This window comes from Homo sapiens, chromosome 19 (genome assembly GCF_000001405.40).
Source record: "Homo sapiens chromosome 19, GRCh38.p14 Primary Assembly".
Classification (NCBI taxonomy): Eukaryota; Metazoa; Chordata; class Mammalia; order Primates; family Hominidae; genus Homo; species Homo sapiens.
The window spans coordinates 3,606,884-3,627,357 of NC_000019.10; the positions used below are offsets into that span (position 1 = coordinate 3,606,884).

Below are 20,474 nucleotides of genomic sequence, written 5' to 3' on the forward strand. Positions count from 1 at the left end.
CTGTCTCTCATCAGCCCCGCCCACCCTGCGCTGGCCACGCCCCTCGGGCCCGGGCCTGGCTGACTTGGAGTCAGTGGGTGCCCCCCGCACGCCGGGACACCCTACAGCCTTCTGGGGAAGGCGGCGCCCTTGGGACCCCCAGGCCACCGGTGGCAGGGATGCAATGGCCCGCGTAGGGGTGGCAGGGGCGCTTCCTCGGGAGCCTCAGCCCCTCCAGCCGCCCAGCGCCCTGCCAGGCCTCTTCCCGGCGCTCCCGCCGCCAGGCCCGCATTATTCACCATCTGGGCAGCACCCAAGGCCTGGAGGGGGCGGGGCAGGTCCAGGCGGATCGGCTCCCGGGGGTCGCCCAGACTCCAGGGCTCCAAATTCACTGGGTGCGCTGGAACGCGGCACACAGTAGTAGTATGCCCTGCTTAATACATACAGGACATATTTGAGGCCCCTTCCAGGGGTGGGGTGGGAGGACAGAGGGATGGGGGGTGCACCAGACGACACAGCCAGACTGAGAAAGGTGGTCCCAGAGCAGGTGAGCCGGGAGGGCTGGGGTGATGGCATCGCATGGGAGGGTCTCTTGAGGAGGCTCGGAGGTGGCTTTGGAGCCAGAGGAGGAACAGTCTGGAGCCGGGAGGCTGCAGTGGGGGATGGGCACTCTTTCCTGGCCACCCCCCAGCTCGGGCTGGGGAAGGAGGGATGGAGCCCAACAGGAATGGCTGAGAAGGTGCCGGACGCAGGGACTGGGACCGTCTCTTTGCAGAGGGGGGACCTTGGGCTTCCTTGGCCTTGTTTGTACACCCGAGCCGGACAGAACCTTGAGTTAGGGACCTGGAGTGGGACCGGACAAGCTGACCTTGCCCTGACTGCACCCCACCCCGTCCCCTGGGCCCGGGAGGGCTGCTAGTCCAGGCTGTGAGTGAGGGGTATTCCCAGCCTGGCCCGGCCCTCTCGTCAGCCCAGTCCGGAAGCCCCTTCCCCGGCTACCCCGCCCACTATCCTTCCTCCTCCTGGCCTTCGGCCACACCCAACCTCCCTCCCAAAGCTCTATCCCATTAAGTCACCAGCCATTTAACACAACTTCTCTCTTTCCTGGCAAGGAGGCTATCCAACTCCTATGGATGTGGCAAAACCCTGGCTCCAAGGCTGCTTTCCCGTGAAGCCGACCTAATCTCCAAGTCTTACTCTCCCCAACCCCTCTCTGTGTTCAGCTTATACAGTGGGACAATTATGAGCTCCAAGTGAGACCTGAAACCAGGCCTGCCCTTCAGGATGCCCTAGGCTGGAGAATGAACTGGACACAGGCTGTTCCAGCCCCCTGGGGTCAGGGCTGGGCCAAAGGAAGAGACAGGGCCTAGGGAAGCCCAGAGGTGAGCTAGGAAGACATCTTGTGAGGAGAGGGCATGGGAAGTGGGGTTTTGTAGGATGAATAGGAGCTCCCCAGGTCTGGGCTACGTGGCAGTGACAGGAATTGCATGTATAAAGCTTTGGAGGCAAGAGAGAGCATGAGGCCCTTGCTACACTAACTGCAAGGAGGGCAGATGTTGGGGGAGGAGGATGTGGGGCTGGGGCTCCAGATGAGGGGGCAGTGAGAGACGGAGGAAGGCTGTCCTGTCCCCACTTCCTCTGTCCTCGGCCCTGAGATAACAAGGACAATGACTCTTCTGGGAAACAGCCTGGGCAGAGTTCAGAGAAGGACACTTGCATTTAGCTTAAGCCTCACCACATCTCTGCAAGGCAGGGGGTAAAGATACTCTTAAATTTTAGAGATGGGGAAACTGAGGCACAAAGGGGGAACAATGCCACGCCCATGTGTGGGATTGGAACATGAGCACTGGGCTTCCCTGTCATCTGGGGCTGGTTGCTGGTCTCCCGGTCTTGGCCCGCCCCCCGCCCCCCACCCCCCGCCAGCACTTCGGGTTCAATGGGAGCACAGGAGGCTCTGGTGGGAGGAGTTGTGAGGGGCTGGGGGGCAGATGGTGGGAACAGAGGCCAGGCTCAGGATGTACCCCCGTGGCTGCGGTTTCCGGCGGGGGCCGGGCAGGGAGCGTCTATTCTTAGCTCTGGACACAGCCAAAGTCAGGAAGCTGGGTGGGGGCGGGGGCAGCTTCCAGGACACCAGGTGGACCTCGGGCCATGGTGGAGAGTCATGGGGTAGATGGGGGGGTGGTGTGCAGAGCCTACCCCTGGCCCCCACCTCCAGTCTGCCTGCAGGGTCTCGACACCCAGCTCGGAGGCCCTCCCCAGCTCACGCGCCCTCCGTAGCTCCCTGGTGCCCAGCTCCCCTAGGATCTGGCTCCTTAGCTTGGCCTGAGCCCTGTGTGCCCCCTGCCCTGGGCACACCTGCTGCCCTGTCCTCTGCAAGGCAGCCGTCACCCTTCTCGGCCAGCAGCCCGTCTTCCCAGGCTCAGTGCCCGTGACCCTTCAGGGGTCCCAGGGCCCCAGCTCTGCTCCCTCCAGACTGGGGCCCCTGGCAAACCATGTGTCTTGCCAGTTGGAGGACAGCCATCTCCCTTGGGGTGCAAAAGGAACGTGAGGAGGAGGAAGCAGGATGCTGGGGCTGGGGGAATCTCTGCAGGGGCAGGTGGGGAAACTGAGGCAGGGACGGGGTGGTGGTCTGGGATTGGGATTCTCCAGGGTAGAGAAACCCAGCTTCTAATACTGGCCCTGCCACTTTCTGGGCTCAACAACGTGGGCTTTTGTGAGCCTCAGTTTCCCGAGCAGCCAAATGGAAGTAAATACTGTCACATAGAGCTGGTGGGAGGTCTGGGTTAGGCCCAGTACAGGCTGGGCTGCGCCAGCCACGCACACACAACCTGGGCTGTGACTACAGAACCCGGCCTGTCCCAAACACCACTCTGGGCTCAAAAGTGCCTTCTGGTGTTGAGGATGTAGAAAGCTGTGATCACGCCCACTGCACTCCAGCCTGTCTCAAAAAAATAAAAAGTGCCCCCCGAGTCCAGCCCGGACTCAGCCCTGCCCCAGCAGCCTGTCCTGATCGGCGGTGGAGCTGGCCAGGAACCCAGGCAAGAGGCTGCCCAGAGGATTCTAAGATGGCTCTGGCCATCTGCCATCAACTTGTGATGTCTGCTGAAGGCTGGGCTGGGGATGGCAGTGTTGTGTGTGCTGCAATGCGATTTGGGATTCTGGAGTAGGCTGGTCAGGGTGGGCCAGGGTCTGCGGTGTGGAGAGCGGACGCTGATCAGATGCACTTCCCTGGCCAGTTCCCAAGCCCTGTGCCACAGACTTCCGGGATCCTGTTAGAGGTGGGGGCTGGGAGGTGACCAGTGCCCCAGGGGAGTGCAGGATCTGCCTTGCACCTCTGCCTACTGCAGTGAGGACATTTGGGGAGGCTCATCCTGGGCACTGAAGCACATTGGGCAGCATCCCTGGCCTCCACTCACTCCACGCCAGGAGCAGCCCCAAGGTGGGACCACCACGAATGCCCCCAGGCATGGCCAAGCGCTGCCCCCATGAGAGCCTGGGCCCAGGCCAGCAGCTGTGTCCACCCTTGTACCCTCCCTCCTGTCGTCTGGGAAATGGACTGTCACCCCCACTGTGGGAGGCAAGGCAGAGGGGTGGGGGGCAAAGACAGATCCGGGCACTAACACAGCTCCCAAGGGACCACCGGGCCCCAGTTGGGTGCCGTGTTGTTTCCCAGGCTCTTCCCTTGGGACAAATGCGCTGTGTCACAAATGCCAGCAGCAACTAGGGCAGCGGGTGTGGGGCGTCGGACACGTTACACTCTCTGCATTTCTGCAAACCTAAGATTATTCTAAAATACAACGTTTATTAAAAAAACATGCGATCTTGCCAATAGGCCAATTCCATGAGAACAAAAGATTTTTTTTCCCACCTACAAGTCTTTTTAGAGAAACAAACGGAACTATTTCCAGATGAGGCGGGGTGTCTGGGAGGGGCTGTGGGTGGTCTGGGGCTGGTGACTGGTGAGGTTGGGTGGCCCTCTGGGGGTCCGGGAGGCACTTTCCGTTTTGCTTCTGTTGGAGATGTTCCCGTCGGATGCTGAAGAACAAGCCTGCCGGCTGGGCCACTCCGACCTGGGCTGTGGCACCCGTGTGGCCCTCGGCCCTCCTGGCCTGAGAAAGGGGAGTGAGAAGGAGCCACTGTCCTGATATGGGCAAAACTCGGGGTCACTGGTCTCATGCTCCAAGGCCCCGTGAGCAGGCCAGGTGGGGGGATCCCTGGGGGAAGCCCCTCACCCTTCTCCAACCCCCAGCCTTCGGGGAGCCCCTGCCCTCCAGGCCCTGTGCTCAGAGGTGGGGGGAGGACGGCTCAGTGACTTTTGGTTCCCACGACCTTGACAGAGACAGGGACCTCGACGCATCCTCCATACCCGCTGCGGGGAAATGGACCCCACCAGCCAGCACGGGGTGAGTTGGGGGCCAGTCCCTGCAGAGTGTGGGTGTCCACAGAGGGTCTCTTCTGCAGTGGCGGATCGGGCGCCAGCAGGGTCCCGGCCTCAGTGCTGCCTGTGCGGGCGAGGGTGGCCTGTGGGCAGGGCTGGAGCTGCCCCACAGCCGCGGGCTCTGCCTCACGCCCAGTGGGTGCCCCGTGATGTGGCAGGGCTGGCCTTGAGTTTCCTGCTTCTCACGAGCCTGGCACCGCCAAGCCCAGGCCCCTCTGGCCCATCTCCACAACACCCTGTGTGGCCGCCACTTGGGGCAGGCCCTGTGGGCCCCACCCAGCCTGGCTGAGGGGCGGTGGAGAGTGTCCGCCTGGACGGTGAGGTCAGCTGGCGGCTGCTGGCCACCCTCGTGCTCGAAAGATGCCCCTAGCGCCCCCTCCGTTGCATCAGGACCCTAGGCCAGCCTGTCCCAGTGTCTCCTCAGCTCACCATGGCAGGCTCAATGGTGACCCCCCTTTTATATAGGAGGAAACTGAGGCCTGGCGAAAGAAAGATGCGGCCTGAGGTGGGACGTGAACCCGCGGCCCTGCAGCCCAGACAGCGGCCCCGGAGTGACCACCAGCTTCACCGAAGCCCCTTTACTGTGCCCCCGAGGACACCTGCCTGCCGTTCCCCAGGGCCGTCACCGCCGATAGCGGTAGCGCTTGAAGTGAAACCACAGCTGGAAGATGCCGTTGGCAAACTGGCAGCGGAAGCCGTGGCGGTGCGAGTATTCCCACTCGCGGTTGACGATCTTGAAAGCGATGTCCTCGTAGGGCGGCCCCGCGTGGAAGCGCAGGATGGCGAAATCCTTGTTGTCGGCGCAGGCCTCCAGGAAGTACTCGGGCGTGGAGCGCTTGTCGATGAGGTCGGGGTAGAAGATGTTGAACTTGTATCCCTGCACGATCTTGGGCGGTGGGTTGTCAAAGTCGTAGTGCGTCTGGTTGTACTTGTTCCACTCGAAGCCCGTGTGCACGCGGTTGAAGAAGCGCGGCTTGCGTGGCCGGTACTTGTCGGCCCACAGGTAGGCCTTGCCGGTGAGTGGCATCTCCACGCTGAACTGCGCCTCGTCCTGGCCCATGCCCTCCTTGGCCCGCCGGAAGAAGATGTCCTCGGCGCTCTCGCTGGCGTCTCCTGCGGGCGGGACGGCGTTCACCCGGGCCTCGGCCTCCCCCTGGGTCCTGGCCTCCCTCCTAGCCTCTCTGGCAGGGGCGGCCGCTGGTGCCTCCCGCAAAAGGAAAACAGGCTGGGGCGAGCTAAGGCACATGGGGAGGGGACAGGGCCTGGGCGACCCGGAGACCCACACCATCCGCCCCGAGCCCCGGACCTTGGTCTTCATGTCTATCGTCCTCCTGGGTGGGGACCAAGCGCAGCGCGCTTCCCCGCCGAGCGACAGGAGAACCTGGTGGTTAGGGCCTGGCTGCGGGATCCAGCCCCACGCATGACCCCCGAGGGGGTCCTGGCCCAGGGGTTTTCTGAAGCCAGTATTTTCTCCTCTGTCTTAGGACGGAGGCTGCCCAGGGAGTGCTCGGACAGCGGCCGGTAAAAGCTTCCACCACCTGTGGCCCCAAGGCCAGTGGGCCAGCAAGCCCAGGATGAATGAAGGAACGCCCCAGTGCGCGTGCAGGTGACGGAATGCACGCTCAGAGACCCGGGGGAGAAGCAGCAAGCAGCTCCCCACTGACGCCAGCGGCTTCGGCCGGGAAATGAGGCTGGAGAAGCCCCGCCCCCAGCTCGCCCCACTGGCCCCACCCCCTGGCCTCCAGCCCCGCCCTTACCCGTGACCTGGAGCTGCTGGCGCGAGAGCTGCAGGCGCTGCAGGTCCTCATCCGGTTCCAGCACGTGCGCGTCCAGTGGCAGCTCGTGCGCCGTGAGCAGCCGCGGGCTGTACCTGCCGGCGTCGTAGTCGTCCAGGCTCTGCTGGATCAGGTCCTCCTCCATGAGCACCGCCTCGCCCTCGCCCTCGCCCTCACCGTCCCCGTCGCCGTCGCCCTCTGTCGGGGTCGCGCCGTCCACCTCGGCCTCCGCGGGGCCGCCCTCCGAGGAGGGCCCGGGCGGGGTGGGCGCCGCGTCCTCAGGCTCCAGGCTGGGAGGAGAGAGCGTTGGAGGCGCGGAGGCTGCCCACGGCCCCTCCATCCTGCTCCGCGTCTGCATCGGCGTCCCCGGGGTGCCGGCCGGGCCTACCTGCGGCTGGGGGACTGGGGCTCCTGCTTGAGGATGGGGAACAGCGGCTCGCTCTCCACGCCCTGCTCCTGCTTCAGTTTGTACAGCTTCTGCCGCAGCACGTCCTGGTGGCGCTCACGCAGCCTGGGACGCAGAGCCGGGGTCACCCGCATGGAGGCGAAGGGGCTCCGCGCCCCACCCCCACCGAGATTCTCACGCCCCTTATTGCTGCAAGGACCCTGAGAAGGTGGCGAGCAGCCACGGCTCTGGCTGGGACCTTTGCCCAGGCTTGGTCAGTTCAGGGTCAAGGCTTATGGGAGAGAGGACGAGAGGACGCAGGTACCCTGGTGAACCATCCCATGGCAGGGAGAGGTGGGTCTCTGTCTCACGCTGCAGTCTCAGTGTCTTGTGGCTGGGGCTGGCCAGGAGAAGGGGCCCAGCAGGACACCAGCCAACAAGCATGATAAATTTAGAGACATTTACAAATTAGCAGAGGAGACATGTATTTACACAGCGGTGCCAAAAACACTCCAGAAATCTGTACACAGCCAGAGGCCGGGAGGCAGCAGCGCTGGGAGGGCGCAGGCCTGGGCGCAAGGCAGTGGGGACAGGCAGGCCGCCTGGGGGCTTCCTGTGATGCCATGGCTGCTGGAGCGCGCCAGGTACTCGTTAAAGGGCGGAAGCTCCTGGGGAGCCCTGTGAGACCAACAGGGCTGACTCCAGGTGAGGGCACTGGAGCATCCTGGGGCCTTCCCGCTAGGGCACGGGACTACGCGCCCCCCGGCCCCCCTTCGTCACTCACAGGCTGGCCCCGGCCAGTCGGCACTTTCCTGCCCCTCTCCACCCCACATGGTCCCAGGAGGAGGCGAGACCCACCCCACCCAGGACTCAGGAGGGGGCGAAACCCATCCCACCCGGACGGCACCAACCCTGGTACCCGCACCTAGTGCTCACCGGGCCCGTGCCATGTGGGCACGAAGCTGCTGCAGGAGGCTCTCCCAGTAGCCCATGTCCAGGTTGGGGCCACCAGCGCGGATTTTGCCCTCGATGCCCTGGAAGATGACCTGCAGCTGGTTGTATGTCTTCCCCTTGAACACCGACTGCACATCAGAGCTGACGGAGGCGTTGACCCCCTCGCGGCGCTCACCTGCAGCGGGGTGGGGGCATGGGGGGGCGGTTCCACATTTCCTACGTGCTCCTCCACCCCATCAGGGCCTCCTCCCCTGCCATGGGGGGGTCCCCCTCCCCTCCTCTTCCCCCACAGGGGTCCCATCCAGTCCCGCCACCTCCCTGGTCTCAGGTTGTCCCCACCCTGGCCACAGCGGAGGGGAGGGGGTGGGCGGAGGTTGGGAGCCACGTTAAGATGCAGTTGCTGAGGCCTTGACCTGGAGGCCCAGGCCCCCAGCGTGGGGGAGGCCAGGACTGGCCCTGAGAATGCCCCTCCCCAGGTGAGTCTGATATGTGGGTCTGGGAACCCTAGTTGTGGGCCCGGCCCACCAACCTGGCCCAACTCTGCCCTGGCCTTGGGCAGTCCATGAGGGGGTTGGGGGGTGTGCTCGGTAGCCAGGCTCTCTGGAATTCAGATCTTCTCTGCCAGCCTGGGCTGTGTGACTGTGGGCAAGTGGCCTGCCCTTTCTGGGCCTTAGTTTCCCTCTGTGAAGCCTAGCAAAGAAGGCCACCCTGCTGGCCCCTGGGGAAGTCCTGGGCCCGCCCCAGGACAAACAGCTCCCCACCGCCGCCCCCCATCCTACATGGAGTCTGTCTGGCATCTACCACTGGCCCAGGGGCCCGAGGCTCAAGTCCCTCCTCGATAGACGGGGAGGCTGCTGAGGGCGGGAGTGGGGTGCTGGGAGGCTGGAGCCTAGCCTGACTCCGCGTGCTCTGCCCCACACCACGTGGCATCCCGGCGGCCTCAGTGCTGCTCTCAGGCCACTTCCACCCACCCCGCTGGGTCTGGCCTCACCTCGCAACCCTGCCCCTTGCTGCCCATGCCGAACCCCTGCCACCTCTGGGCCTTTGCACGCACTGTGCTTCCTGCCAGCTACCCATCCTTCTCTGTCCCATTCGCTTCCTGAATTCCTCGCATCCTCCATGCTCAGTGAGAACATCCCTTCCGCCAGGAAGCCCTCCCTGACCATCCAGCGATGGCAGCTTCCCGAGGCGGGCAATGGGGCTGGCTGCTGCTGTTCCCTGTGCCATGCTGGGCCCACAGGGAGCTTGGTGCATAGCTGCTGGTGACACACTGGGCGGGGGTGACCAGTGCAGGCACCCTGCTCGAGACCTGCCTTCTCCAGTCCCCGCTGGCGGACAGAGGGTCAAGAGGCCCACACCTACACCACAGGGGACTGGATAGAGTCTAGACGGACCCGAGTCCCCTCCAGCCAATCACCTGGGACCCTGGAATCGGCACCCAGAGCTGCAGCCCCTTTGCTGGGCGCTAAGTGGCACTGGAATCCGTGGCAGCCCCAGCCAAGCACAGCGCGGCCGTGCCCAGACAGGCGGGGCTACCACGAACACTGAAACCCAAGCAGAAGAGCCCAGCCGCGAGGCTCCCAGGAAGCCAGGCCAGGTGCCGCCAGGTCAGCGTCTATAGAAAGCCGGGTCTGGACATGCTGCTGCATGTCTGGATGCCTCCCGAATGCCCACAAGGGGGCCCGGGGGTTTAGGGGGTCCCAGCAGCTGCTAGAGGCTGGGGGTGCAGGCCAAGGGCCCTGGGGCTGCGTGGGGGAAAGGCCAGGCCCTACACAGGGTGGGAGGCTAATGAAGCTGAGCTGGGATGACACCCGTTTTCTACTGCACAACCTCCTGTAGGGTTAGAACTTCCTAGAAAAAGCTAGGTGCACCAAAATCTCACAAGTCACCACTAAAGAACTTATTCATGTAAACGGCCGGGCACGATGGCTCACGCCTGTAATCCCAGCACTTTTGGAGGCTGAGGTGGGTGGATCACGAGGTCAGGAGATCAAGACCATCTTGGCCAACATCGTGAAACCCTGTCTCTACTAAAATACAAAAAATTAGCCAGGTGTGGTGGTAGGTGCCTGTAATCCCAGCTACTTGGGAGGCTGAGGCAGGGGAATTGCTTGAACCCAGGAGGCAGAGGTTGCAGTGACCTGAGAACACACCACTGCACTCCAGCCTGGCAAGAGAGCAAGACACCGTCTCAAAAAACAAAAAAACTTATTCATGTAACCAAACACCACCTGTTCCCCAATAACCTACAGAAATAATAAAAAAACTTTAATTTTGTAAAAATTAAAAAGAAAAAGCATGCAGTCACTCATGCCTTTAATCCTAGCCCTTCTGGAGGTGAGGCAGGAGGATTGCTTGAGGCCAGGAGTTCAAGACTAGCCTGGGCAACACAGTGAGACCCCATCTCTACAAAAAATTTTCAGAAGTGGCTGGGCACAGTGGCTCACTTCTGTAATCCCAGCACTTTGGGAGGCTGAGGTGGGAGGATCATGAGGTCAAGAGATTGAGACCATCCTGGCCAACATGGTGAAACCCTGTCTCCTTAAAAATACAAAAATTAGCTGGGCGTGATGGCGCGCGTCTGTAATCCCAGCTACTTGGGCAGCTGAGGCAGGAGAATCGCTTGAATCTGGGAGGCAGAGGTCACAGTGAGCAGAGATCGCACCACTGCACTCCAGCCTGGTGACAGAGTGAGACTCCTTCTCAAAAAATAAAATAGCTGGGTGTGATGGTGAGCGCCTGTAGTCCCAGCTTCTAGGGAGGCTGAGGTGGGAGGATCACCTGAACCCAGGAAGTCGAGGCTACAGTGAGCCTTGATCGCGCCACTCAACTCTCGCCTGGGCGACAGAGCGAGACCTTGTCTCTGAAAAATGAAAAGTAAAAGGAAAACCCCAATTAATTTAAGAAGATCCAGGACAGGGGCTCTGTGGGTCTCCAGGGGGACAGCAAAGTCAAGACCCCTCGGTTCCCTACTCCTGGAAACCATGTTGAAAGGAGAATCAGAAACAAACTCCCTCGGAAGACACCAAAGCCACCTGGGGTCCCCAACTGTAACGCGTGAGGGGAAAGGAGGGCTGAGCGACGTGGTGGAGGCAGAAGGCCATGGAAGGGATGGGAGAGGCCGGGGCCTAGGGCAGTGGGGCACGCTGGAAACGCCTCCCAGGCTTATAGGAGAGGCCGGGCCCAGGGCAACGCTGGAAACGCCTCCCAGTCTTACAGGAGAGGGCGGGGCCTAGGGCAACGCTGGAAACGCCTCCCAGGCTTCCTGCAGCCGGTGGGTAGGGTCTGCGGCTTCTGAAGGAAAATGTACTGCACCCAGAAGTCTTTGCCCAGCCCCGCTGCCACCAGCAGGAGCACACCAAGACCCTTAACGGACACACCTCTGATGCTGGAGAACTGCCCTGCCTCTCTGAGGTTACGGGAGAATGTGCCCCACGGAGGAGACCACTGGAGGGACAGGATGGCTGAGTGAACTCCACCTCCGGGGAACACAAAGCTCCACTGAAAAAGAGGAAAGCCACAGGCTCTTTCCTAGGAAGGACCTGCCACAGACCACGCTGAGGGCTGCAAATGACACTGACCCAGCCTCCTGGGATCCTCGGCCACCATGATGGCACCCAAGGCCTGAGAGGGAGGGCAGGGGAAGGACCGGGTCTATCGACAGGGATGCGTGGCCCATGAGAGCCAGGCACTGTTACAGCAGCCGCTGGGGCGTGGATTTTGGCGGGGAGGGGGCAGGGCTGCTGTGGTTGGCTTTTAGACCGGGGGGGGGGGGGGTCTCATCTAGGGCAATTCTGCCCCCAGGGGACTCTGGGCAACGTCTGGGGACATCTGCGGTTGTCAGGACTAGGGGTGCTCCTGACCCTGGGTGGAGGCCAGGGACGTTGCTCAGCACCCAGCAGTGTCCAGGACGGCCCCACCCTAGGGAACGGCCCAGCCCGCATGTCCGCAGTGCTCAGGGTAGACGCTTTAGAGCATCCCCGGTGACCATGTGTGTGCAACCACACGGAGGGGGGGGAAACGTGATTTTAAAAGCCCATCAGGTTGGAGGGGCACGAACTGACGCACGGGACAGGTAGCGCCCTGAAGCTGGGCTGCACGGCCTTCAGGCCAGGTGGAGCGAGACTTGCTGTCAAACAGGCAGAGCCACTGAGAGCACTGAAACCTGAGCGGAAAGCCCCGTGGCTCCCATAAGGCCGGCACCGCCGAGTCAGCGTTAACGGGACGCTGGGTCTGGACGCTGCTGGCCCTGCACCCCAGACAGAGGCCCGCCCCACTCATCCCTCCCAGGGCCTACTGCCCGCTGCTGCCCCCTGGTGGCTCGGCCCAGAAGGGGAGGCCCCAGTTGGGGAAACCGAGGCCTGCAGAGAGCACCAGGCCCCACAGCAAGTCTGAGGCTTCTGGGTGAACACTGTAGCCCCCGCAGCTCCCCTGGAGCCCAGGCCCATGCCCGCCGTTACCTGGCCCCTTGCCCGAGGCCTCCAGCTTGCGGAGCTTGGAGATCTCGTCCTCGGTGATGGTGGTCATGTCCCGCCAGAAGTCGGCGTTCTTGCCCTGCTCCAGCTCCATGTAGACCTGGGGGCAGGGGGCAGGGGTCAGGACACGGGTGTGGCTGGGGTGGGGGTGAGGGTGCAGGTCAGAGGAGCATCGGGTGGGGCTGGGTACCTGGATATCCTCCAGCAGGTCCTCCATGTCGGCCACGGTGAGGCCGTTGAGGAACGTGTAGGGCTCATGCATCTCCACGGCCAGATCGTCATCCTCAGCGCTGATGTACTTGGCCAGCAGGTCGATGGGCTTGGCCCGCCCGTCCCGGATGCGGATCTTGGAACTGTGGGGAGCAGGGGAAGGTGGCATCAGAGCCTGGGCTGTGCCCTCCATGCTAAAGACCCTGCCCTTGGGGTGACCACACCAGTGGGAGCCGAGGAGGGGCCTGACCCGTTGGGGGTGGTCAGGGAAGGCTTCCTGGAGGAGGAGGAGGAGGAGGCATAAGGTAGAGTGAGCCGGGTCAGCCAAAGGGCGCAGGCCAGCAGTGCAGACAAAGTGCAAGCAGCGTGGACCCGGAGGTGGGCCAGGTGGGAGGGGCTTCCTGGAGGGCCTCTGGGATGTGCCCAGGATGGCGGCTTCTATGTGGGCTGTGATGGGGAAGAGTGGAGGAGCTGAAGCAGAGGCAGGCTGGGGGACCAGAGTAGTCACTGCCTTGCAACCACCTCCTCCCCCAGGCAGACCACTCGGGGCAGAGAGCCGGGTTTCTGTTCTGGGCCTGCAGGGGGGTACGCGTTGCAGGCGGGCCCTGGTCCAACCCAAGGGAACCCGTCACCAGGGAGGCCCGAGCTGGGAGGAGCCTGATGTCACCCGCCACGGGGCCCAAGGCAAGCAGGGACACCCCGGAGCCTCAGCTTGTCTGTAAACCAGGCGGATGGGGGTGCCACCCTCCTGGGTGGAGTGTGGGAGGGACAACTGCAGTCAGTGCAGGACTGGCGTCCAGCATGCGTGGGGTGCCGTTCACCTGGGCCCGTCTCCTCTGCACCCTGCCCAGCAGGGGAGGGCAGGAGACAGAAGCCTTGCCGCCCGGGAAGGGGTCAGGAAGGGAAGGTCCCAGGAAGTGCCGTGTGGGACCCTGAAGGGTGGGAGAGCAGTGGCTTCCAGAGTGACAGCCAGTGCCCGGCCCTGGCTCCAAGTCTGGGTCGGAGGGAGGGGGAGGCCCCAGCGCACCGCAGCTTGGCCTGCTGGAGGTGGAAGTTGTCCTCCTGCTCCTCCCATGTCTTGAAGTGCTCTGCCTCCTTCTCGCGCTGCAGCATCTCCAGCTCCTGCTCGCGCATGGCCTTCTCCCGCTCCCGCTCCAGCCGCAGCTGCTTCACCTGCAGGCACAGGAGGCTGAGGGCAGCGGGGACCGTGCGGTCTGCAGGGCTGCGGGGGGAGGGGCTGTGATGATGGGGGCCCAGCCTTCACCCAGCTGCCCTGGGCACAGGGATTGGTCCGGAGATGCCTGGGCTGGTGGACAGACCTTGGGAAGGGAGAGGGCCCTCCTGCCCGAGACTCAGCAGCTCAGATCAGCTGGGGCCCTCTCGGCCACCCTGAAGGGAGCATGTGGGAGTGAAGGCCCGAGGCCAGCAGAGCCGAGAGGTGGAGGGAAACAGTTTCCTGGGGCCATGGTCTGAGCCCCTGGATCCAGCCTTACCTGAAGCCAGCCCCCAGGACTTCCCACTTAAGCCCCTCAAGTCCTGCCAAAGGGGGCGGGCCTCCAGGCCCTGGAAAGGGAGGGCCCTGCCCAGTGGGCTGGCAGGGTGCCTACCTTCTGCAGCTCCAGCCGGTTGTCCTCCTGGATCCTCTTGTTCCGCTCCTTCAGCTCCTTCTCCTCCAGGTGGCTGATCCCCTTCTTCTCCAGGGCCTGGAAGCACCAGGCACACCTGCCCTGAGCACAGACCCGCCCCCTCGCCCCCCTCCTCAGCTCCTTCGTCCAAGAGATTGACCAGGGCCCTTGTTTTGCAGAGAGAGGTGACCTGCCAGCACTGCACGTCTTCCACCCCCTCCTTAACACTCCTGAAACCCAGTGCATCCAATTCAGTGCAGACATGGAGCCCCCACTGGGAGTGAGATGTATGCAAAGGGTAAGAAGGGGCTACCCCAACTCTCAACAGGAGGGCCTCACTCGGGGCCGCCCCAACTCCCAACAGGAGGGCCTTGCTCGGGGCCACCCCAGCCCCCAACAGAAGAGCCTTGCTCGGGGCCTGCTGACTCGCTTTACCCGGGAGTCTGAGTGCTTCGGACGTGAAGGCCACGCCCTCAGCAAGTCAGGGTCCCCCACTGCACGTGGGACAGGGCAGGAACAGTGAGTGGGGGCAGCAGCAGCTCTGAAAGCAAACCTGTGGGGTCATGGGGCCCCGCCCACACAGCGGGGCACAGGGGTGGCCACTGATGGGCTTGTCCCAGCCTGGAGACCCTCAAAGCTGGCTTCTTCCAGCAGCTGTCTGAGAGCCTGGCGCGGAGCCCCCACTTCCCGACCACCTTCCTCAGGCTCCCGGTGCCCCGTCGCCATGAGGGGGTTCCAGGAACCCCTGCCGCCCAGAACTTGCCTCCAGGGACACAGGCTGCCTGGCTGGGGACCACCCCCAGACACCCGGGCCACTCTGTGGTCTATCCAACCCAGCCTGGGGCCGCTTCCACAGGCGTCAACGATGACCACATCTTCCTCCTCCATGGCTGCCCGCCCAGAGCTCACGGTGGTGCCCAGCACACCGCAGGTGCACAGCACATGGTGGCGATGAAGTGCCAGGCAGCAGTGTGTGCCTCAATAAAGAACTCTGGGGGGTCTGGGGAGCAAGGGGCCAGGAAGGGGTCTCTCAAGAGGGGATGTGTCAGTTGAGGCCTGACGGAAGAGAACAGCCGGGGAAGGGGCAGAGCATGTCCAGGCAGGGGCGCGGCAGTGTGAGGGCCCCGAGGCGGAAGGAGCTCGTTGTGTTCTCAGACGACATCGGGCAGAAGCCACCTGGAGACCCCACAGCTCCCAACTGCGCAACCGGCGAGCAGGTGCAGTCGGCCCAGCCCACACGTTGCCTGCTCCACCCCCTCCACAAGTGGATGCTGCTTCAGATGAGCTGTGTCCCCCACAGGCACATCCCCGTCTGAACCCCTGCAGCTGTAATCATGACCCCATGTGAAATGAGGTCTTGGCCAGGTATGGTGGCTGACACCTGTAATCCCAGCATATTGGGAGGCCAAGGCGGGCAGATCACTTGAGGTCAGGAGTTCGAGACCAGCCTGACCAACATGGTTAAACTCTGTCTACTAAAAATACAAAAATTAGCTGAGTGTGGTGGCACCCGCCTGTAATTCCAGCTACTTGGGAGGCTGGGGCAGGGGAATCACTTGAACCCAGGAAGCGGAGGTTGCAGTGAGCCGAGATTGCGCCTTTGCATTCTAGTCTGGGCAACAGAGTGAGACTCCATCTCAAAAAAAAAAAAAAAAAAAAAGTGATGAGGTCTTGCAGACGTAGGTAAGATGAGGTCATCCTGGAGGTGGCGGGCCCTCATCCAATGCCTGGTGTCCTCATGGGAAGAGGAACATTTACACACAGACACACAGAGCAGAAGGCCGTATGGAGACAGAGACGGGAAGGCAGACCGCCACACAACACAGGAACAGGCCGGGTTCTGCGGCTGCAAGCCAGGGAGGGCCCAGGAATCACCGGCCATGACTGGAGCTGGGAGAGGCAGGAGGGGCCTCCCCTCGGCCCCCAGAGGGAGTGGGGTCCTGCCCACACCTGCCCACGCCTTGATTTTGGACTTCTGGACTCCAGAACGAAGAGATGATAAGTTCTGTTGTCTTATGCCACTGGTGTGACTGGTGGCTAAATGGCAGGCGCAGAACGAAAGAACCAGCTCAGACGACAGAGCGCCTGGAACTGTGGAACCCTGTCCTGGGTACATGATGCCAAGAGCTGGCTCTCTAGATAGGTTTCAGGTTGGGCTGGTGTTCGGGGCAAAGAATGGCTGAAGCTTACACCGCAAGAGACACAGTTAATGGCAAGAAAATGACGGTGGGCTGGGCGCAGTGGCTCATGCCTGTAATCCCAGAACTCTGGGAGGCCGAGGTGGGAAAATCACTTGAGCTTAGGAGTTCGAGACCAGCCTGGCCAACATAGTGAGACTCCATCTTTACAAAAAAATAAAAAATTAGCCGGGCATGGTGGTGGTGCCTGTAGTCCCAGCAAGTCAAAACGCTGAGGTAGGAGGATCGCTTGAGGCCAGGAGGTCAAGGCTGCAGTTAGCCACGATCACGCCACTGCACTCCAGCCTGGGTGACAGAGCGAGACCCTGAGTCAAAAAAGAAAGCTGGCCGGGCGTGGTGGCTCACGCCTGTAATCCCAGCACTTTGGGAGGCCAAGGCGGGTGGATCACAAGGTCAGGAGATCGAGACCATCCTGGCTAACATGGTGAAACCCTGTCTCTACTAAAAATACAAAAAATTAGCCGGGCGTGGTAGCGGGCGCCTGTAGCCCCAGCTACTCAGGAGGCTGAGGCAGGAGAATGGCATGAACCCGGGAGGTGGAGCTTGCAGTGAGCCGAGATCACACCACTTCACTCCAGCCTGGGCGACAGAGCGAGACCCTGTGTCAAAAAAGAAAGCTGATAGCGGCAGAAGCTTGCTTATGCGTGTGTGTGTAAAACCAACTCTTGCACGATCAAGGGCAGGCTGGGAGTGTCTCAAGTGTTGGGGTCTCCAGAAACAGTGGAAATGCTACAGGGACAGAGGCCACCACCCGGCGGGGCCCACCTTATTCCAGATGAAGGTGCCCAGCAGGTTGTTGTCTCCGAAGGGGTTGTCGGTGTTGGTGTAGCCCATGTACTCCTCACCCCAGCCCATCTTCTCCCGCTTCTTGCGCTCCTTGGCCTCCTTCTTGGCCAGCCGCCGTGCGCGCTTCTCCTCGGGCGTCTCGAAGGCCTTCATCAGCTCCTCCTGCTGCTTCCGCTCCTCCCGCAGCCGCAGCCGCTCCTGCAGGCTCTGCTGCTGGCTCAGGGCAGCCGCGGCCGCCCGGGGGCTCTGGGATCGCCCTGGAGACGCGGAGCTGGATGCTGAGGAGCTAGGAGACCACGAGCGTGCGCGCCGTCGCCGGCGAGCCCACTGGCCCCGTGACTGCTCCTCTCCTGAGTCCGACTGAGAGGACCCATCTCTTGAGTGCCACTTGGGCCGCGGGGGGCTCCGGCTTCGCATCCCTGAGCGCTGCCACCGCTCTTCCTCTGAATCTGACCTGCGGAGAGGACCATGGATGCCTGCTCAGTGCCTGCAGCTGTCATCTGCTCCACAGATGCTTACTGGGTGCCCGTGGGGGAGCAGGCACTGTTCTAGGTTCTGGGGACACAGCAGTGACCCAAATACCGATGGCTTCTGCCTTCCTGGGCTCACCCTCTGGTGGGCCCCAACAAGGAAGACATCAACAAATAAACACACCACGCAACACTAGGCAGAGGCAGAAGCCACAAAGAGTAGCAATGCCGAGCACAGGGGCTGGGGCTGCAGGGCCGAGGTCAGAGAGGGGCTCTCTCAGGAGCTGACACTGAGCCAAGGTCTGGAGGGAGTGGGGAGGCAGCGATGGGTGGATTCGGAGGGAGAGTGCTCGAGGCAGAGCAAGAGCGAGGGCCTAGAGGCAGGCACTGACCTGCCACATTCTAAGAACAACAAGGAGGCTGTATGGCTGAGACAGAGTGTGGGGGAGAGGGAGGAGGCGCGGGCAGGGAGGTGGCTGGGGCTGGTGGCGCAGGAATTATAAGGGTACGAACCAGGGGACCCGAACACATTTAGGCTGTCAAGGGAGGGCTTCCTAGATGGAAGTGGTATTTGAACTAGTCCCACAGGATGGACAGGAGTTAACAGAGTAGAGCGCAGGGAATGGAAGATGCACAACCTCAGGGGTGGTTCAGGGGCCTTTAATTTTATTTATTAGAGACAAGGTCTACTAGACACAGAGTCTACTAGAGACAAGGTCTATATTTTTATTTATTAGAGACAGAGTCTCCCTCTGTCACACAGGCTGGAGTGCATGATCAGAGCTCACTGCAGCCTTGACCTCCTGGGCTCAAGCCATCCTCTCGCCTCAGCCTCCTGAGTAGCGGGGACTACAGGCACACACCACCACGCCCAGGTAACTCTTTACATTTTTTTGTACAGAGGGGTCTTGCTATGTTGCCCAGGCTGGTCTTGAACTCCTGGGCTCAGGCAAGCCTCCTGTCTCAGCCTCCCAAAGTGTTGGGATTACAGATGTGAGCCACTGCGCTCAGTCACGTTTAGGGGTCTTTGTACACAGAGAACTGCCAAATATTTTGTTAAATGCTCTACCCATTAAGCTCATGTCAAAAAAATCTAAACTATGTTGAAACCAATCATTGCAGAGCCCTTAAATATTGGCCACAAGTTCAACTGAATTTTCGTGAACATTAATTCTAATTACATATCTAGAGTGGCAAATTATTGTGAATAATTCCAATACCAGAAAATGGTAGGCGAAAAAACACAAAGATGACATTAACAAGACTTATGGGCAGGCGCGGTGGCTCACGCCTGTAATCCCAGCACTTTGGGAGGCCGAGGCGGGCAGATCACTTGAGGCCAGGAGTTCAAGACCTGCCTGGCCAATATGGAGAAATCCCAGCTCTACGAAAAAATTCAAAAATTAGCTGGGTGTGGCAACAAGCACCTGTAACCCCAGCTACCGGGGAGGCTGAGGCTGAAGAATCGCTTGAACCCAGGAGGCAGAGGTAACAGCCGAGATCGTGCCACTGCACCCCAGCCTGGGCGACAGAGCAAGACTCCGTCTCAAAAACAAACAAACAAAAAAACCAACAACCGATGAGTGAACTTGGCCCAGAGCGGGGCAAGACTGGCCTGAGTGTCAGCCACGAAGGGGCTGAGCCAGCACTGGGGCCCCGGTCTGGGAATCAGTCCCTGTCCCCATTTTGGTTTCTCTGTACTGGAGCCGGCTCAAGGCAAATCCGACCAAGTGCCCCATCTCCAGAAGAAAAGGACCATGGGGAAGCTGAGATTCAGGCACTAGGAATCAGCTGTGAGTCCTGCCAGCTGACACCGAGTCTTTTTCCCTCCCACAGCCCACCTCCATTAGCAAATGTTGTCTCCTCTACTTCCAGAATCCCTCTGAAATCTACGCACTTTGCCCGCTGTGGTTGACTACAGCCTCCCTCCCATCGAGACTGCCATCATCTACTGTCTGGACAATTGTGCCGTCCTACTCTGATGCCGCTCCTGCCTACCCCGCTCCATCCCTTCTCCACCTCAAAGCCAGAAAGTATGCAGAGTTAAGTCAGTCCACGTCACTCCCCTACCCAAACTCCTCTCAAGACTCTCCATTTCCCTCCGACTAATAGCCAAGATCTAATGTGCTGAGCACACAGGGCTCGATATGATATGATCTGATCTCTCGTTACCTCCCCGCCGCCTCGCTCACCCGGCTCCGGGCTGTCCCTCCAACCGCCCGGTCCCCTGCCTGGAACGCCTCTCGCCTTCCTTCCGCTGCCAGGTTAATTCCAACCGGTGGTCAATTGTCCCCTTCTCTAGGAAGCCCTCCCCGAGTAAGTCGGGGGTTTCCCGGTTCCCCGGGATCTCCAACCCTCGGTCGGGCGCTCCTGAGGTAGGAGCCGGATCCCCAGCGCTGCTCCCGCAGCGACCCCACCTGCGCTCCCGGCTCCGCCGCCTCCGTCTGCGCCGTCCCTCGTCCTCCCGGCGCCGTCGGTTTCGCCGCCCATGGCTCCTGCTCCGACTTCGGCTCCCGCTCTGACTCTGCCGCCTTCGGCCCCGGCGACCCGCGGACCGCGAGCGCGAGCGTGTGTCCCGACCCATCGGCTGGGCCAGTGGCCGCGGCACCAACACCAATAGCCGAAGCCTGCGCTGGGGGCCTTCCTCGCCCACGGCGCTCTCCAGGCTGCCCCGTTTGCGCCTGAGCCGGGAAAGAGCAACCCATCCCGTCGCCCCAGCCCGCAAGGACTCCGACACCCCAGACTTTCCACTACGTCTGCAAATGTGGACCGCGTGATTGACTCCAGTGGGATTGTTGCCTCCAGGGTGGCGGAGTCTCCTTTCAGGCAGTGCTGGAGGCAGCCCTAGGCGGGTCCCCACGCCTCAGGGGGCCTGAGAAACTGTGGGCGGGGCAAGGGCAAACTAGGAACCTTGTGCAGGGAGGGGCCTGCCGAGGCGAGACCAATAAGAAGCGGGTCTAGGTCGGAAGTAGCGCTTCATTGGCGTGGCCAGGGGCGTGGCCGAGGAGAGGCGTGTCCGGGGAGCGAGGTCCCCGAAAGGCGAGGAACCGGGAAGGTGTTAGGTGCCAGGCAGCTCCAGAGGGCAGAGGGCGGGCGCGGGGACAGAAACTGAAAAGCCTTCTTATGAGAGTCATCGTTATGCTCCACCACCTGCCAATGAACACCTATGTATTTTGGGA

The 20,474-nt window shown here is 61.7% G+C and overlaps 1 protein-coding gene and 1 long non-coding RNA gene across 5 annotated transcripts, besides 10 other annotated features; one reads left to right on the plus strand and one right to left on the minus strand.

Moving 5' to 3' along the window:
- Positions 51–130: a silencer, noted in NCBI's record as "silent region_9855". NCBI's record gives its function as "represses an Ori minimal core promoter by ATAC-STARR-seq in GM12878 lymphoblastoid cells {active_cell/tissue: GM12878}" and the evidence as "EXISTENCE:reporter gene assay evidence [ECO:0000049][PMID:35858748]".
- Positions 117–690: an enhancer, noted in NCBI's record as "H3K27ac-H3K4me1 hESC enhancer chr19:3606998-3607571 (GRCh37/hg19 assembly coordinates)". NCBI's record gives its function as "activates a minimal SCP1, AML or CMV promoter by ChIP-STARR-seq in primed H9 embryonic stem cells {active_cell/tissue: H9 hESC(primed)}" and the evidence as "EXISTENCE:reporter gene assay evidence [ECO:0000049][PMID:30033119]".
- On the plus strand, positions 364–7,047 carry CACTIN-AS1 (CACTIN antisense RNA 1). Its single transcript, NR_038865.1, has 4 exons — positions 364–526; positions 4,317–4,382; positions 4,883–5,420; positions 5,902–7,047. It is a non-coding gene; the product is annotated as a CACTIN antisense RNA 1 (long non-coding RNA).
- CACTIN (cactin, spliceosome C complex subunit) lies at positions 3,762–19,907 on the minus strand. Of its 4 annotated transcripts, NM_021231.2 has the most exons (11): positions 19,713–19,907; positions 16,805–17,279; positions 13,824–13,919; positions 13,244–13,389; positions 12,197–12,359; positions 11,992–12,106; positions 7,514–7,706; positions 6,581–6,703; positions 6,175–6,482; positions 5,021–5,530; positions 3,762–4,088 (listed from the first exon to the last, which is right to left on the minus strand). In NM_021231.2, the coding sequence occupies exons 1-10, from the start codon at positions 19,877–19,879 to the stop codon at positions 5,040–5,042; spliced, it is 2,277 nt and encodes a 758-aa protein (NP_067054.1). In that variant the 5' UTR covers positions 19,880–19,907; the 3' UTR covers positions 3,762–4,088; positions 5,021–5,039. The 4 variants fall into 4 exon arrangements, with proteins under 4 accessions (NP_067054.1, NP_001074012.1, XP_011526462.1 ...); NM_001080543.2 differs by having other exon boundaries at positions 3,762–5,530; XM_011528160.3 differs by lacking the exons at positions 3,762–4,088; positions 5,021–5,530; positions 6,175–6,482 and having other exon boundaries at positions 6,616–6,703; positions 7,503–7,706.
- Positions 11,162–12,034: an enhancer, noted in NCBI's record as "H3K4me1 hESC enhancer chr19:3618043-3618915 (GRCh37/hg19 assembly coordinates)". NCBI's record gives its function as "activates a minimal SCP1, AML or CMV promoter by ChIP-STARR-seq in naive and primed H9 embryonic stem cells {active_cell/tissue: H9 hESC(naive and primed)}" and the evidence as "EXISTENCE:reporter gene assay evidence [ECO:0000049][PMID:30033119]".
- Positions 17,068–17,569: an enhancer, noted in NCBI's record as "H3K4me1 hESC enhancer chr19:3623949-3624450 (GRCh37/hg19 assembly coordinates)". NCBI's record gives its function as "activates a minimal SCP1, AML or CMV promoter by ChIP-STARR-seq in primed H9 embryonic stem cells {active_cell/tissue: H9 hESC(primed)}" and the evidence as "EXISTENCE:reporter gene assay evidence [ECO:0000049][PMID:30033119]".
- Positions 17,570–18,069: an enhancer, noted in NCBI's record as "H3K4me1 hESC enhancer chr19:3624451-3624950 (GRCh37/hg19 assembly coordinates)". NCBI's record gives its function as "activates a minimal SCP1, AML or CMV promoter by ChIP-STARR-seq in primed H9 embryonic stem cells {active_cell/tissue: H9 hESC(primed)}" and the evidence as "EXISTENCE:reporter gene assay evidence [ECO:0000049][PMID:30033119]".
- Positions 18,296–18,857: an enhancer, noted in NCBI's record as "H3K4me1 hESC enhancer chr19:3625177-3625738 (GRCh37/hg19 assembly coordinates)". NCBI's record gives its function as "activates a minimal SCP1, AML or CMV promoter by ChIP-STARR-seq in naive H9 embryonic stem cells {active_cell/tissue: H9 hESC(naive)}" and the evidence as "EXISTENCE:reporter gene assay evidence [ECO:0000049][PMID:30033119]".
- Positions 18,858–19,419: an enhancer, noted in NCBI's record as "H3K27ac-H3K4me1 hESC enhancer chr19:3625739-3626300 (GRCh37/hg19 assembly coordinates)". NCBI's record gives its function as "activates a minimal SCP1, AML or CMV promoter by ChIP-STARR-seq in primed H9 embryonic stem cells {active_cell/tissue: H9 hESC(primed)}" and the evidence as "EXISTENCE:reporter gene assay evidence [ECO:0000049][PMID:30033119]".
- Positions 19,420–19,981: an enhancer, noted in NCBI's record as "H3K27ac hESC enhancer chr19:3626301-3626862 (GRCh37/hg19 assembly coordinates)". NCBI's record gives its function as "activates a minimal SCP1, AML or CMV promoter by ChIP-STARR-seq in primed H9 embryonic stem cells {active_cell/tissue: H9 hESC(primed)}" and the evidence as "EXISTENCE:reporter gene assay evidence [ECO:0000049][PMID:30033119]".
- Positions 19,420–20,240: a biological region, named in NCBI's record as "H3K27ac hESC enhancer GRCh37_chr19:3626301-3626862".
- Positions 19,871–20,240: an enhancer, noted in NCBI's record as "active region_13741". NCBI's record gives its function as "activates an Ori minimal core promoter by ATAC-STARR-seq in GM12878 lymphoblastoid cells {active_cell/tissue: GM12878}" and the evidence as "EXISTENCE:reporter gene assay evidence [ECO:0000049][PMID:35858748]".